Source organism: Homo sapiens, chromosome 10 (genome assembly GCF_000001405.40).
Source record: "Homo sapiens chromosome 10, GRCh38.p14 Primary Assembly".
Taxonomy (NCBI): Eukaryota; Metazoa; Chordata; class Mammalia; order Primates; family Hominidae; genus Homo; species Homo sapiens.
In genome coordinates this window covers 85,595,911-85,613,226 of record NC_000010.11, presented here as the reverse complement: position 1 = coordinate 85,613,226, position 17,316 = coordinate 85,595,911, and the positions used below count along the sequence as shown (strand labels likewise).

The window sequence follows — 17,316 nt, the reverse complement described above, 5'->3', positions numbered from 1 at the left end:
AAATGTAGGGGATGTTTTCATGCTTGAACAAAGTGCTGCAGTACCAGCCTTAGCCACTAAAGTCCTGTATTTATCTATAGAGCAGGTACAGCGTGGGCAGCGCCAGAGAGCCCTTCCCTACCCTGCCCCGCCCATGTGCCTCCACCCTGACCTGGAGAGACCACCTGTAGGGTAAGAGAGGAGCCCATTCCTTCCTGATTCTCTTTTACTTCTCACCAAGGGACACAGGGCGCTGCTCTCCCAGCGCATCAGGGGATCCCTGTCCCTCCCAGCACTCCTTTCTCCCTATATTCCTCCTGCTTGCAGGGCCCAGCCTTGCCCCTGTCCCTCCTGGGTGCACCCAGCCTGGGGGACACTAGCTCTGTCCACACTCCGGGTTCTGGGCACACATTTCTCCCCATGTGTGCCAACTGCAAACTGATTCTGCCCCTCCACACTTCCTTCTTACTGGGTTTGTGTTCTGCAAGCTCTTTTTTAAATTTTTTTTTTTTTCTGAAATAAAGCCTTCACCAAGGTCCCCCGGAGACCTTTGCCCTACGGAAGGGTGGAAAGTAGTGTCATTTGGTGGTGATGCTTTGCCAGCAGAAACTCCACATGCCCAGCCACACCATCCGTGGGGCTGTCACTCTCTGCCACATAGACCTCAGCTATGTCTAGAACCACAGCTCTGCTTAGAGACTCTGTGGGTGCAGATGGATATAAACCTCAAACAGGAAGTGGTAAAGCAACCTGCATCAAACCCAAAAGCACTTCTGTTTTGTTTTGTTTTTTGTCTGTTTTTGTTTTTACTGGAGGCTCAGATAGTACAGGGCAGTTCATTAAATGGTTTCAGAGGTAGAAGGTCCAAGGGGCACAAAAAATAAACTGGGACAGGAAAGAAAAACAGCCAGGAGGAGGTAAGAGCCGGCGGGCTCTTCTCAGACTGATTTGGGGAAGGGATTTGGCACCTCTGGACAGCAAGGCTGGGTCCACCATGTGTGTGGCCTGGGTGTCTGGCCACATCGCACCCTCCATTCATTGGTCCATAAGGGCATTCCTGGCAGGTCAGGGGTGAGGACAGGGGTGGGCGTCCCTCGCTCCTTACAGGACTCTGCATTATACCAGGTAGTGAGCTCTCTGTCCTTATGCTGTCTCTTCCCTGGAAGGACACTGCTTAACTCAGTACATCTGCAATGTTCGGGGATATCTGTCTTCCTCTCTGGCCTTCTGTGTATCTCCATGTAAGGGAATGTGAAGCTGGGGCCAGCTGCAGCCTCAGTGGCTGTCCTATCACCCCTGGAGCTCAGAAGGGAAGGAAGACAGACCTTTGAGGAAAAGGCCCTGAAAGGAATAGTTGATGGTTCTGTCCCAAGCTTCTTTGGCTACTGGAAAATTTTGTATAAAGAAGTCAGTGGGAGGGACAGTGAATTATTCTGACTAGCAGTTGTAAGGAAGGGCTACACATATCTGACCTCTCCTCATCATGTCAGCCCCTCCACGCCATGACCAGTGTGCACCCTTCACCTGCTTGTTACCACCCAGGTCTCTATGCACAGAAGCATCAGTAGGCAGCTGTGATGGGGTGGCCCCAAAGCCACCCCCAGTAGAACCAAGAAGGATGAGAAGGATGGGAAAGACCAGGCCCCCAAATTGGCACACGTTGCACCCGCTCCGTGTTGTTTGTTTTGGATTTTGCTTGTTTTCCCTAAGTCTTCAACCTGGTTTCCTCTGTGCAAAGGCCCCTTGTGTCAGCGGAGCAGGGGAGGGTCTCCAGGTGGATGAAAATTGCACTGTCAGGAATTTGTCTTCCTGGGCAGCTGTGGGCAAGGGTGGGGGCCTGGAGACACAGGTTCAGGCTCAGCCCCAGCCTCTAGCCTATCATCTGTGAGCCACATGCAGGGAGAGCTTGTCCTTTGGATGGGAAGTCATTGTCTGCTTTTAGCTTTGTCCCTTCACAATGCCTAGTTTAGTGACGGTTTGGACAATTTCAGCCTGGACCACCCACAGTTAATTGTTGTGGTCTATGTGTGTGAGAGAGACAGAGAAAGAGAGAGAGAGACTGGTGATTGTTAAAGAGACATAGATAGGAAGACAGAAAAGAAAAGAGAAAAAAATGGAGAGACCAGGAGACCAAGGGATAACCTAGCTGTGAGGAACAGCTCCTTTCTTGCCGGTAAAACATCCTACCTTTTATTCTGGCTTCTGCATAAGTCCAGGATCTCAGTTATGAAATGATGAATACATTAGCCCTGCTTCCAGAATGTGGGACTTCCTGCCCCTGTTGCCAACCTGCTTCCAGATAGGAATGAGGACACATGGAGAGAGGCAGGTTGGAAAAGCACAGCAGCTGCCTGTCCTCCAACCCCTTCTGGTGTTGCTAAGAAGGGTTGCATGGAAATGTTCCATCTTTTTCATATTTTTATGGGTTTCCAAATTTCAAATGCAATGTCTCCCTTCCTTCTTCCCTCTCTCCCTTTCTTCCTTTAATAAGCCTGCCTATAGAGACCTGGCCCCTGCCTTCAGGGAGCTTACTTCCTCATGCACAGATGTGGCAGAGAGCTGGGCCCAGCAGTCTCCACTCATTGAGCAGGCTGTACTGCAGTGATCAGCAGGTATCACAAAAGCACCGAGGACATCCAGCCCAGCCAGGGCATGGTGGGGTCAGAGGGGTTAGGGGTGCTGGTTATTGAAGACTACTTGGGGCTCAGAGCTGTTAGAACTGAGCTTTGAAGCATTGATACAAACCCTGGTACTAAAGATGAGATAGGAAGTTGCATTTTGGGCAGGGTGAACAGCTGGAGGTGAACAAAGTCATCATACCTCCTGGAGCTCAAGGGCTGAAGTGTCAACGTGAGGAAGGAGATGCTGGCAGGGGAGGCTGGGGAAGGATACGGGGCCTGCTCCGAAGGACTTAAATGCCAGACTGAGAGGTTTTGACTTTATCATGCAGGGAATAGGCAGGAAACGGCTCAAAACGACAGTCTTTTAGAAGCATATTCTTAAAACCTTCAAAAAATAATGATGGTATTTAATCCGGAACTACTTTGTGCTACTGGTTGCCTGTGTTTTATGGGGCAGCATTTGCAATTAGGTGAGAGTGTCTGGTTAATCTTTGAATGTTTCATTTTGAGGCATTGGCCATATTTCTTAAGAGCCAGAAACCTGTCTTTGGGTGGAGCCCAAGTTGTGCTTAATGGCTTGCTCTAGGATGTCGTCACAGTTTAGACACTTACTTGAAGAAGAGTAGTAATGTGCTTTCAACCCCTTAATATTCATGTAGATTTCAGCTCATATTTTTTCTAAGGAATCAGACGATTATGTAGTTACCCAATGCAGGTGAATGCACCAAACTCCATGGATGCAGTAAAGAGCCACTCGCTAGATTTATGGGGGATGTGGAGCCATTGCTCTGAGAATAAAATATTCATGAAATAAAGATGAGAACTGCACAAATGGGAGACGACATGAGGAGTGAGGGATGAGTCATCCATCACTGGGCTCAGAGTTTGGAATTCTTGTTGCTTTCTGCCTTGCCTGCCCTCCCCTGGCCCGGTTTCCATCGCACACAGGAGCTGGCTGAGGCCAGGGTGGCCGGGCAGCAGGGGACAGAGAAGCAGATGGCCCCTCTGTTCTGGCTGTGGGCAGCCTCTGTCTGCATGCCCCAACCCACTGTGAAAGATTAGATCCCAGGGGCCCTCACTTCTTCAACTCCACACCCTTTCTTGCCTCCACTCCTTTGATGTCTTCTTCAACTGCATGTAAAGAGTTTGCCAGTCTGCACATTTTTCTTCTTCATTTATGCCAACCCACAGCGTTGCACTGAGGATTCAACAAGGGAAGGCATATAAAGTGAATTAAAGATGTGCCTGGCCCAGAGACACGCTTGGTTGTTGGTGGCCAAGGGGCTACTCTATCCAAAGGTCCTGGGCTAGGCAATGAGGAATATGGGAGAGACAAGTGACACCTTAGGGCTCCTTTCCTGTGCTGAGCAATCTTGTTAGCCCTCTTCAGTAGTTGAAGAAGGCATCCTTATCCCTGATGAAATCCCTCTCAGAAGTGAGAAGGGTAGAGATGGGATGTGAATGATGTGTCTACCTCTGTACCCCTGCTGCCTCCCAGGCGCAAGCTTGTCAAAAGGCCAGGGCACTGTCCTTTCCTCTGGGTATGTGCATGAGCCCATTGGGTTCCGAGGTAGCATTTTCCAGAGGACTTGGGAGTGAAGGTTGTGACTCAGTGCTCTACCCAGGGCCAGGCTCCTGGATCCTGGCTTCTGGCTACACATTTACATTATCTGAACCTCAGTCTCTCCCTTCTGCTGGAAACAGCCTGGCCTGAGAACTATGCTCAGGAGCAAATGGCTTAGCATGAGAGTAAGAATAGTGAGTGTGCATGTTTCAGCCCACGGCCTCCAGTGAGAAGCCATGGAACATTTACCATACACCGCTGTGTATCTCAAAACCAGATCACTTGGCAAAGCCTCCCCTGCTTGCTGCCACCACTAGCAGCCCCCCTTGCTGGGTATGCTCCACATTGCCAGTAATGGTTTACCTGCCTGTCTCTGCTTCAGATCCACCAGTGCCTCCTCACCTCTGCATTGCCATCAATGTGCCTTCTCTCTGGAACAGTGGAAGCTCTTATTAAGGGGTGATGAATATAATTCAAGTATTGAGCACTTTCTATGTGCCAGGGACCAAGATAGATGCTTTACCAAGAACATTAGCTCATCTGGTAGTAGGAGCTCAAACACGTTTATTGAATGAATGAACTAGTCAAGACTCCCGTAAAGAAGACATTACTAATGTTAAATTGTTGTGTAATCATTGCACCTGGATCAATGGCTTTTAATTCTGGCTGCATGTCAGAGGTGATTAATTCTGGGGCTTTTTAGAAATACAGATGCTTGGGCCCTGTTTCCCAAAGGGTCATATTAGGGAGATCTGGACTGCCATAATTTCTAAAATCTCCACCTGTGCTTCTGATATCCAGCCAAGGATGAAAACCACTGATTTATGCCAACATTCCAAGGTAAGGAGCTACGGGGGTAATGAAATTTGAGTAGAATGAAGTCTCACTGGTATGGGGAGGATGAATTTCTTGACACACTGGTGTCATGGAAAAGAGCCCAGGTTTTGGGCTGGGTGTAGTGGCGCATGCCTATAATCCCAGCACTTTGGGAAGCCAAGGCAGAATTGCTTGAAGCCAGGAGTTGGAGACCAGCTTGGGCAAAAAAAGCTAGACCCCAGTCTCTACAATTTTTTTTTAATTAGCCAGGTGAGATGGTATGTGACTGTAGTCCGAGCTACTCAGGAGGCTGAGGCAAGAGGATTGCTTGAGCCCAGGAGTTCAAGGCTGCAGTGAGCCGAGATTGGGCCACTGCACTCTAGCCTGGGTGACAGAGGGAGACCCTGTCTCAAACAAACAAACAAAAAAAAAAAAAAAAGGAAAAGGAAAGAGCCCAGGTTTGGGAACCTGGTAGATGTGAGTTCTCGTCCTGACCTTCCACTTACTGTGGAATTGCCTGAGCTTCAGCAAGCTGCCTTACCCCTAGCCTCAGTCATTCCTCGGTGCACCTGCTGCTACCACCCACGATGTGAAGTCATTGTCGGTTCGCTCTCATTGCCCTCCCTAAAACATCTGCTATTGAACTGATCAGAACTCTTTCTCCTGATGCTTTGAAAAACTGCCCACCATCTCCTGAGACCATTTCACTTACGTACTTGAGCTCCTTTGTCCTTACCCAGCCAATACTCTCAGACCCCTAGCCCGGCCCGTTGGGGTTGGGTAAGTCTTGGGAACAACACTGAAGATTGTGTTGGTAGCATTTCTCCCAGCCCTTGGGTCCCATTTAGCACCTGATTGGTGTCAGTGGTAATAGGATAATGCCACCAACAGCCAGCTCAGTCAGGGGGAAGTTCCTCATCCCCATTTTTGTTCCTGCCCAACTTACAATAAGAGCTGTTGGACTCCAAGCAAAGTCTGTTCTAAGGAGTCCCATGTGTAACAGGCTGTTACAAAGATGATAGTTTAGTTAATTACCGTTTTCCAATACACTGTATTATTTCCACATTGGTGAACAGCAGCTTAATTACAGAACTTTATCTCTGCAAGACAATGCCTGGGAGAGGTTCCCCAGTAACCTCTGTTGGTGCATCTGTCGTCATGTTTAATATGGGATGAGAAACGCAGAGCTGGAATTCAGCCGGATTCACGGGTAAACACAGTCTGTGAATTTTATATCATATTCAGGGATGTTTGACTAGGTCAGTTACCTACAGTAAATTAATGAAGATAGCAGTAAGTTTCCAAGTCTGTTTTCACAGCTGTCATTACCTGGCCGAATACCGAAACCTTGGGATAATGAGGATGTAAACGGATGTAGTTCACATAAAAAAGCCCATTATTTGAATTTGCATAACATAATAGAATGCAGTATTTTGTCTAAAAGATAGATAATTATTCAAATCACTCCTGCCTCTTTCCTTGAGTAGGCTGATTACTCCTGTCTCCTCTTTCCTTGGCTGGAGACACAGAAGGAACAGACAGACATGACTTTATGAGTGCTAAATCTATGACCCCAGGTAATACAAGCAGACCATGCTTCCAAGGTTTCCAAACCAGGCGGTCTGTCCTGCGCACCTCAGCTCTGGCTCCCACAGACAGCAGCAGGAGCAGGCGACTTAAAGGACACATTGTGAGACACAGCAAATGGCTGCGTTTGTTTTCCAGGAAAGATAGGAGTCATTTGCTGCAGTTATACACATTTTCTTATTCAGTTAAATAACCAAAATAAGAGACTTGAGATGGCACCCTCATCTCCTAGGGTTTGTCCTCGTGTTGGAGCTATTGGGAATTGATGGAATTTGAGTAGAATGAAGTCCCACTGATGTGAAGAGGATGGATTTCTTAATAAGCAGTTGGGAAGGAAACCCCCTGGAACGTTTGTCCATTTGGTGTAGACACTTTCTGTGTGTCTTGACACGGAGACTTTAAAGGCGAATGATAACTGCAGTAGGGAGTTGGTTCCCGCTGCGCAGCTTTGCAGTCCTTAGAACTGCTTCATCCATACTTGATTTGAGACAAGCAAAAAAAAATGTGAGTAAAATAAACTTAGTCAAGCTCTTTCTTCAGAAATAATAGACTGGCAGAGAACTAGTTATCTCCACATTCAGTCTGAGGGCTGGCCTTGATTCTAAATGCTCCATTATTACCGGATCCACTCCCCACCACCACGTTTACTATTCCAGCTTGGCACTTGACAATCCACCATGCTCCAGTGTTCTCTCACTTGCACTTCAGTGGTGAAGTCATCCAGCTCAGAGACTTCCCTCACTTACATCTTCCTTCAGAGAATTTTGGCTGGTCTGTCTTCCCCGAAGCTCCCATGTTTGTTTCCCTGGCATTAAATAGAGAGAGTTCTTTCACCTTGTCCCTTACTTCCAACCTCCTACCTCCCTGTGGCTTTCTTCTTGGACAGGAAGTTAAGCTTTCCCTCTCTCCAAACTCTAACAAAATGGGAGCATCTCCTGAACACCCTGGGCTAGTGCTCAATTGACTGAGAAAAAAGGCCAGGCCCTCTATCAACTGCCAGAATCCAGAGTTGAGCAGCCCTGGAACCTAGACACCTGCTTCCCACTTTAATTGAGTCCACTCAAACTTTCTTTCTTTTCATCTTCAAAGGGGTCCTTAAAGTCCTGAAGGGAAATTAGAAAAGAGGATAAGGGAAGATTATGCAACTGATTAATTACTAACTAGTTCTTCCAATGGTCCCAGGTCATCAGTTTCCCTTCCGTGGAAATGAAAGTCTTTGACAGTGAGGGTGACCAGCTTGTTCAGGCTTCTCCAAGCTTTGCTAGCTGCAAAGAAGAGAGAAGGTTATCTTATTAAACCCTAAAAGTACCTGAATTTCTTTCTCAACTACTTCAGCTTCCAGACTCCCTGGTACTTGTTTTGTGCCCTTCATACATTTTGAAATGAACATGCCTTATAGATACAAATATTCGCCAAAACGATTGTAGCACTGATTCTGGCTAATACAGATGACACTGTATCCACAGTTTAACAGGAGCTCATAGCAGCCCCAAGAATGCTAGAGATGCAGGCTTGATGCTGGGCAAGAGTCAGGGCTTGTCTGGAGGCCCAGAACACTAGGAGGATGGCTGTGGAAAAGAAAGTTTGGCAGAGTCCCACTGCTGCAGCAGATGAAGCACCTGCTGCTTTCTGTCTCTCTGTCTCTTTGTTCCGGATTCAGCTTCAGTCTTACTGTCCTTATTTGGATCATGGTCCTGTCTCTTCGTTAGGTAACCTGTCTCTTGATAGTCTGTCAAACTGTTATCCGGTGGGGATAGTAACTCCCTAAAAGCAATAAACCATAGACTTCCTTGGGAAAAGATCATTGATGCTGAGTGGCGCTAAGCCACTAACACACTGTATAACGGTTATAAAATATTCCTAAAGTAGTCTTACATGCAAAAATGAAAACAAAGCAAATAAAATAGAATACACAAAAAGTAGCAAAGTTGAACAGAACTGGCTCCACCATGGTGTAAGGTAATTAGGAAAATAACTTGAATTTGGTTTGCTCTATATTTTACAAACCTTTGAAGGAGTCAGCATAAACATTTCATGAATAATTTAGCTGGGACAAGTAGAAGCCTGGCATTCTCCAGCCAGTTCCCACAATTTCCCGACGACACTTGCCATGCAGAGGTGACCCTAACTCAGAGATGGTCTCCCAGCACGAATGAGCTGAGCTCTGCTTGTGTGGGTGGGCTTCAGATCACTGAAGTTGTGACTGTGCCTGTGAGGCTGTGCCAATGGTTTCTGATGTCATTTTCACCTATGACAGCGAGCCACATCCCATAGCATCCTCTATTCTCAAACTAGTTGGCTGTCTTGATTTCCTCCTGCCCTGGAATGACTTGTCAGTTGTCCTATGGGTGTTGTCAGTTTTCTTGTCCTGGGAAAGATTCTAGGACTGACAGCAGGTGTCTCATCAGAAGCCAAACCATGTGTGCCAACCATGAACTCATAAAGGTGCGGAGAGAGCAGTGGTCCCACCTTCTATATGCCAGGGGACATTGAGGCAAGGAGTGAACTGCAGAGCACTTCACCTCCTTGCTTGAGGAACACTGAGTTGACCCTTTGTGGGGGTTAGCCCTGTGATTCATGCACTCATCTGGTCAGGGCTCATGCCTATCATTCAGTTGAACTTCTGGGGGTGGAAATCCTCTCCCACTGTCCCCACAGAAGCTCAAAGCAGTCACTGGAATGGCTCTTAGATTCATGTGATTCCTTCTTTTTCCTTCTGAAGGCATATTCAGGGCTTCTACATTTCTTAATATTTCTAACTCCCCTGCAAGGTGGACAGGGGATGGGTTCCTTTCTCCAATACAAGATGCCAACATGAGACCACCTGCAGGGTGGCCTGGGAGCTGAGCTTTGGGACTGTATTTCTCTAGGAGTTTGAGGTGAGGGAAAGGTCACCACATTCCCTGGCGCATCAGCACCCATGCTGCTTACAAAGTCCCTGCAGCCTCAACCTCACCGGGAAGCTCATATGGCTCCTCTGCTGAGCACCAGGTCCTGTGCCCACCTCACAGCGGGGAAGCCAAGGAAGGAGATGACGTCTTCCTTGAGCTTTCAGGCAGTTTGTCTGCCTTTAATTATTCTGACATTGTAGGGAAATCATCAAGTTATTTGAAAGGAACAATATTTGTTCTGTTTTGTTTTCTTTCTTAAGCAAATAAACAAGCCAAGTAATTTCCTGTGATATCACCCACTGTGGTGAGACAGTATCAGGTGTGAGATCACCCACTTAGATAGCCTTGAACCCTCATGAAACCAGGAGGGTCAGCTGACCCTGGGGAAGTCCCATTCCTCACAATCTCCACCCAGGAACCCACGCCCCCTTGCCCTTCCAGACAGGGATATGTCCCCCTCCTTGGGCTGCCTGAAGAGATTGCACAGGGAGGACACAGGTCACTGGGTGAGGCAGGGCTTCTCTCTGGCTCCAGGCCTCCAAGCTGCCTCTAACACTGATGGTCCTGTGACTCTGATGAATCATTGAACCTTCCTGAGCCTGAGCCTCCTTTTGTGCAAGGTGGGGATGATCATACAAAGTCTTTTCATCATCTTGAACTCTAAGTGGCAAATTCATGGGACACCTTAGGGGCTCAAGGACTATTTCCTTTATTCCTGTGGGACTTCTTCTCCTGTCTCTGCCTGCTCTTGAAAGCATCTTGTCCTAAGGGTTGGTTCTGGGTATGGCAGTGACTCTAAACTGAGTACAGAGGCAAGGCAGGATGCAGCCAAGGCCTGTTGATGGCATCTTCTTTGCTACATAGGGATCATGTCTCCCCCCTGGCTTCTCCAGATAACTGAGGGTTGGCCATATAATTGAGGGGAGGTGGGAGCCACATGAAAGGGATACTCGCCCACAGCCCAACAGGCTGACCAGGCCTGGTGACTACAGACATCCAGAGCTGTAGCAAGCCAGCCTTGACTCACTGTTAGGGCTCCACCTGACCTTCCTATGCCTTCCCTCCAGGACAAAGAAGTGAACTTGGAGCAGGTCCACCGGCGCATGAACAGCCTCATGGATGAAGACATTGCTCACAAGCAGATTTCCCCAGCGTCGATTGAGCTCTCGGCCCTGGAGATGGGGGGCCTGGCTCCCACCCAGACCTTGGAGCCGACACGGGAGTACCAGAACACCCAGCTCTCGGTCAGCACCTTTCTGCCAGAGCAGAGCAGCCATGGCACCAGCCGGACACTCTCATCAGGGCCCAGCAGCAACCTGCCGCTGCCGCTGAGCAGCTCGGCGACCATGCCCTCCATGCAGTGCAAACACAGGTCACCCAACGGGGGGCTGTTCCGGCAGAGCCCGGTGAAGACCCCCATCCCCATGTCCTTCCAGCCCGTGCCTGGAGGCGTCCTTCCAGAGGCTCTGGACACCTCCCACGGGACCTCCATCTGACTGCGCCGCCTGCCCTCCTGCCCACCCTCCCACCCACCCGACCAGCAGAGCTTTTTAATACAAGAAAACAACAACACAAACCACACACACTCGCACACACACACATACACAGAGACTCTTTCATTTTTCTTGTACATATGTGTAAATAATGACAGAATGGAGTGGGGTAAAAGTGTATTTTGAATATTCCCAATTTTCGAAGTCAGTAAAAAAACACAAAAACTGTATGAATGACTTTGTAAATTTTGTTCTATATGAATAAAAAGGCAAATTACTTGTGATCATTCTGAAGTGCCAAAGGAGCCCCCCCATTCCTGGGCCTTTCTGAGGGCAGGAGGGGCGACCAGATAAGGAGCCCCTCTCTGCTGGGGGAGAAGGGAAGACGAGGAACCCCACATGCCACTCGCTGCCTTGTCCCACAGCTTGCTGCCCCATTTCTTTGCTCCTGGCACCTCGTCCCTTTTAGTCCCTCAGCTTGATAAAGAGTGAGTTTGGAGCCCGCATTGGGCTGGCCCACTGGGTTGCTGTGCTGTAGGGTGATCGGCTGTTCTGGGTAGCCTGGGGCTGAGGAGGTGCCCTGGACTCAGGGCTATCCTGTCCTGTCTTGGATCTTGCGGGACGAGTTAGTCACCGCTGTGTGTGTTGCAGTGTGCCTCTGCCCCATGGGCCCGAGAGAAGCTGACAATTACCCATAGTGAGGTAATTGAGGGCTTTGATACTGAGCTGTTCTCATATCATACTGTTGGCCTTGTTTTTCATTTTCTTTTCAAAATTAGAAGAATCAAAAAGTGATAGAATATTGGGGGAAGGAGGGCAGACTCCATCGTTTCCTCAGGGAGACTGGGCGGAGGTGGGGTTGGTCTGGAAGAAGGTCCATGGGGGCAGGGAGTTGCGAGGTGGGGTTAGTTGCATGGACCAGGTGAGGTGGTGGAACAAAAGGCCAGGTAGAGGAAGAATATTCCCTTGGGTTTGGACCCATGGTCCCAGGTGAGAGAAGGAAGTGAGGCCATAGATGCAGGGAGTAGAAGCTTTGTGGTGTCAGGCAAACGGACTCTGTTAGTAAGAGTTGGGGGAGGTGCCCAGGTGGGTGGACCAGTACTCCAGGTGATGGGGCATGCTGAGAAATAGAGAAAAGAGACCATGTTTATTTGGGTAGGAGGAAGCCTTGCCTTGCGCCTTAGGTGAGAAGCATAAGTGTAACTCCCATCCACCAGGGAAGTTGCTTGTAGCCCCAAAAGTAAAGGCCTATCTCTGGGTCATAAATCCTGCAGGCAGTCCAACAAACAGGGCTGGCTCCAGCACAAACTCTCCCTTCCACCTTTACGACCCTCTCCAGACCAGACCTGGAGTCCTCTTCAAGCAGCAATCCAACCCAGAGCAGGGGCCCTCCCCACTCAGGCATCTGATAACCTCTGAGATTTCCAGGCCTATCCCTGTGCAGGTACAGCTGCAGGGAAGCCCAGTTTTCTAAGCCTAGGACCACCTAACAGCGCCCCCTCCTTCAGTTGCCCTTTCTGAGGCAACTAAACTACAGAATCAGGGAAAGAACCATTAGGAGTGGAACTGGGGGAATCTGAGTTGTGTCACTTCAGTTCCTCTCCTAAAGACAAAGGTTAGTCTGATCTCCAGACCCGTCAGAATGGAATACACAGCCCACATCTGTCACTGAAGGAGGTGGAGCTCCCACAGCCAGCAGTAATCAGGGAGCTGAGAGCCTGGTTCTGTGATCATGGAGAAATACAAAGTCCTATTGATTGCTTCTTCTATAGCCTTGTAGAGTTTCTAGAGAGATGTATTTATGAGGGTGATAACTAGCCCAGGATTGATTTCTTTCCTAAAGTCCCTAGTGACATGATTGAGCAGTAAAGAACGGCCAAATCACACAGTCAGCTAAAAGCACTGTGGGGAAGAGAGTGTTTATAATTATGTTATTTATTGCTGGATGCTGAGAATGGTCTGATATTCGTGCTACCTAGGCAATCCATTGACATTTCTCCAATCAGAGCATGTGGACCTTGGAGCCAGGCATGCTCAGAGAAGCCTAGGTGGGCTACCATGACCCCGAGGAAGAGCAGGCTTTGTTTTCCATCAGCACGTTGGGGGCCCTGCCCTGAATGGTCAATTTTTCACATATATATCTCTCTATTTTTTTAATCAAACTCTGGTCTCACTGCCTTATCTCACACCAACTCTGTTTCCTCATTGCCCCCTGAGATGGCCTGTCTTCTGGGGTATAGCTTGGATGTCTTCTTGGATGGTTCTGCTTAGAATGAGTGTCAAGGAGGAAAGAGAGGGAGATGGAGGATGTGTTTGTGCGCCTGTGTGTGTGTGTTTGTGTGTGTGTGTGTGTGTGAGAGAGAGAGAGAGAGAGAGAGAGACCAGCATCTTCAAGAGAAGTATTCTGCTTATACAAAATCCTTAACACCTCATGGTGTTATTCTTCACCATGTTTATATATATATATATATATTTTTTTTTTTTTTTAGAATTTTCTACCCTTGGCATGAGGGGAAATGATTGATATTCAAGCAAGTTCTCTAGGAAAAAAAAAAACTTCCCAACTCAGATTTCTGTGTCAGCTCAGAATGTATCTTTTTTTCATGCTTTGCTCTTTGGATTTATAACTCTGTTTAGACTATTCCATACATTTTAGGTATATTTTGTGCCTTCAGACACTGCAAATAATAATCAGCATTTGGATTAAAGTTGTTTAATAATAAATCTTGTCTTTGCTCCCTATGCTCTTATTCTCTGGGGTGAAGAAATACTGTCTGCTTGTTTCTGGGCATGCTGAGATCATGAAGTAAATTCTGTGCTATCAGCAGGGACAGTCATGAGGAAAACTCCTCTCCTCAAGGGGGTCTCAGATATGCCTGGAGGTGGGGGCAGGCCCTCCTCACCCAGTGCATATCCAGAGTTCCCTGAAACCAACCAGGGGACAGTGTGAGGGACAGGCTGAGGAGCAAGTCTAATTTTTGGTTAACCTAACAGTGTTCTTTAAAATATTACGTTCTTGGAAGTGTCTTAGGAGAGAACTGGGTCATCATCATGCGTAGAGAAGTGCTCCCATGGCCTGGAGGAATGAACACCCCTTTAATTGTCAGCTGACTGTGCTGCCACTCTCATCTCTGCACTCACCCTGACCTCAGATAAGTTGCTTCCCTGTGCTTAGGTCTCAGAGCTAAGGGACTGTCATTCCTGGTGGAGCACAGCTTGGCTGGACCCCCAGCTTGGCTTCTCAAAATTTGGCCCTTACAGGATCTGTGGAGACCTTTCTCCAATGAACATCTTATGCCCTCAGTCATCCTACAGGCCTCAAGCCATCAACCTGATCTTCCACCCCCAGATGTGTGTGCTTTTCAGCCGACCTCTGAAAAAGTCCCCTGGCTTCAGTGACTTTGTGGGGGACAGCCCCGCTGTCGGCCTCAAGCTCAGTAAAGCTGATCTGAGGAGGCTGTCTGACATGATCAAAATTTCTTCTTCTAGAAACCAAAAGGAGGATGCCCAGCCCTAGTTCTTCTGCCCTGCACCAAGGACAGGCTTCTCCACGTTGGGGCCACTCCTCAGACTGGGGCTGAGGGGCGGGCAACAGACACCGCTGGATTCTGTGAGCAGATGGGTGGACAGGAGCAGCTGCAGGGAACCACAAAGGGCTGTTTTCTTAAGAAGAAGCTGCCTAGTTCCTAAATCAGAAATCCCCCGAATAGTGCCAAGGTAAAACTAATTCCATACCTAATGTTTGTCTTTTCAAGTTCTAAAGGAGAAGCAGACACATTAAAGAAGAAAAGACCAGTGGTCCTAAAGGCCACGAGGACATGGAGGGACGCAGTCTATGGCCTGTGCGTTTTCATTTAAAAGTCATTCCATTTAATAATAGATGATAGAAATATAAAAAATTGAAATATTAAACATATTTTAAATATTATTAAATAACAGAGATGGGCAAGGTCTAACGGATAACTCAGGTCTCTATGTGACCTTCTGCTCCCAAGGTGAAGGGGTCACTTAATTGAGTGCCTCCAGCTTCGTTTTCAGGAAACTTTCACTCCCAAAAGTATCTGCTCATGAATTAGCATCTGTGTCTTAACTAGAGCCTTGTTTTGTACTCCTAGCCTTGGCAAAAGTAAATGAGATAAAAGCTCCAGACAATTTTAACTGACCTTTCCTTGCTGTGGACACAATAAAAGAGGCAGCATTTCTGTTCCTAATGTAACATTTTTGTATCTAAAATATTCTTTTATGCCATTAGTTGTTTTTAATAAAACTGTTTATTCTTATTATCCTCACCCTTTGTACCAAGAAACTGCACATAAATAACCCTCTTCTATGCCAATAACTTTAATCATTGTCTTTTTTTTTTTTTTTTTTTGTCTCTCAGTGGTGGTATTTAGTCAGAGGAGATTACTTATGAGAGAAGTGAACCTATTCCAGATAAATCAGGTGAGCTAATAGTCACCTCCTACAAAAGAGGAAGGGACAATTGTCTGTAATGTCTGATCATCCCTCCCCTGCCAGCATTTATTGTCTTTATTGTCTCACCTCTGAACTTGACATTGAGCACTGAGCTCAAAAGATAATAGAAATTCTGTCTGCAGGAAAAACAAAAAACAAAAAAGATGGGCACAGAAGTTTACAATGGCCAATGGCTGGGATCTGCAAGATAGGGCACTAGATAGATCTGGATTACTTAGGGTGAGCAACCAAATGTGACCCAAGGAGAGCTCAGTTGCTGGCAGATTCAAGTAGACAGTTGCCAGGGGCTCAGGGGTGTCCAAACTCAGAGGAAAACAAAATATTCACCAACATATGGAGACTTGTACATCTAAAATAAGTATACACAGACACATATACACATATGTACATGTTCATGCACAAACACCGAAGTCCATGCAAACACAGTCACCATATCAGGCACATGCATGTAGAGTTTTAAAGCACATGGCAATGCGCTTGGGTGACATAAGCAAATGGAGATAGGCTCATCAGAAACAGAACCCAGGGGAGAAAAGAGGCTGTTTCAGGGCTTCCCTGCCCAGTGCACAGTCTCAATACAACAATCAGCCAAGCGGTGCTCTGCAATCAGCTGCCGAGGAGGGAGGAGCACCTCCTGCAATGCGGCCTGCTGTCTGCAAAGCTGCCTGGTGTGCTCACCAAACCCTCCTGTGTCATCAGTCCCTTGCTCTAAAATCCTGACTTGCAACCAGAATCCCTGAAATATGCAAAGAAGCCCCAAGCATTCTCCAAAACATCCTGCTTCCTAATAAGAAAACCCATTATCATCCGTATCAGTGACCGTTTCTTGATCAGGTGTGCTGTTTGAGAGACTGTGCTATACCCCTCACATACAAACACTCTCTTATTCTCAGATCAGCCATGCAAGGTAAAAAAATATTATAAATAGATTTATAGATAGGAAAACTGAAACTCAAAAAGACATGGTTCCAAAGCTGGTGAGAGACAGTGCTGGGATTCACTTTCTTGTCTATCTGAGTCCTTAGTGAGTACTCCTGCCAGTACAGCTGGCTCTCCCTCCCAGAGAGCATACCCACTGTGCCTCAGCTGCTGCACCTGTGCTGACCTTCCCTGTCACCAGCCTATCAGGTACCTCAGCCTCCACATCTGCTGCCTTCTCTCCAGTGGCTTCAGGGCAGTCGGTGAGTATCTGCTTGTGCACCCCTGCAGTGGCTGTAGGTAGGCTGGGCTAACAGGGTCATTTGTAACCACAGAGTTGGGCTGGATATCTGCTCCCCTGAAGTTGCCTAAGCCAGGCAGGGCATCAGTCTGTCAGGCTTACTCAGAAGCTGGGCTGTTCCTTTATGGATATCTCCTTCCTCCCCTAGACTCCCCAAGAGGCATATCCTCCTTCTGCCGAAGGTAAAGTGTGCATCAAGCTAAGGGAAACTCTGAGACTAACTAGTGCTCTAAAGAGTTTTAGGATTCTCCCCCGGGCAGGAATTCCTTCACCAAAGTCCCTTGATAGACCTCAGAGGTGCCTGAAAACCTCCAAAAATTATCTGCCAAATTGCTTGTGCATGTGTGTATGCATGTGTGTATGTGCCTTTTTTCCAGGAACCTGGTTCATATCTTCCACATATTCCTAAAATTCTCGTATAAAAGCTCTAAGCCACTTCCGTTAAGAGTTGTGAGTCAGGCAAGCCTCTGCATCTCACTCTTCCAAGGTGAGTGTTTAGGTGCAATCTTATTTTGATGCTCATCTGAGGTGAAAAGCAGAACAGTAGCCGAGGAGGGAGTGTAGAAAATGCATTGCAGATGGGGGCGTTGTGGCTTTGACTAAGAGGAGGTGGGAAAATCCCACTGGCAGGGCACCGTGGGCACCATGAGATACATGGGCAACAGGGTAG

The 17,316-nt window shown here is 47.6% G+C and overlaps 1 protein-coding gene and 1 long non-coding RNA gene across 4 annotated transcripts in view; one reads left to right on the top strand and one right to left on the bottom strand.

Annotated features, from left to right (window-relative positions):
- The window catches only part of GRID1 (glutamate ionotropic receptor delta type subunit 1), a 767,244-nt gene extending 753,569 nt beyond the window's left edge, over positions 1-13,675 (top strand). For all 3 annotated transcript variants that reach the window (NM_017551.3, XM_047425122.1, XM_047425123.1), the window contains one exon: positions 10,526-13,675. In NM_017551.3, the coding sequence (NP_060021.1) occupies positions 10,526-10,954 (429 nt within the window). In that variant the 3' untranslated portion in view covers positions 10,955-13,675. The remainder of the gene's footprint in view (positions 1-10,525) is intronic.
- GRID1-AS1 (GRID1 antisense RNA 1) overlaps positions 6,012-17,316 on the bottom strand; it is a 29,485-nt gene continuing 18,180 nt past the window's right edge. The window contains exon 3 of the long non-coding RNA NR_038986.1: positions 6,012-7,832. This is a non-coding gene — a long non-coding RNA (GRID1 antisense RNA 1). The remainder of the gene's footprint in view (positions 7,833-17,316) is intronic.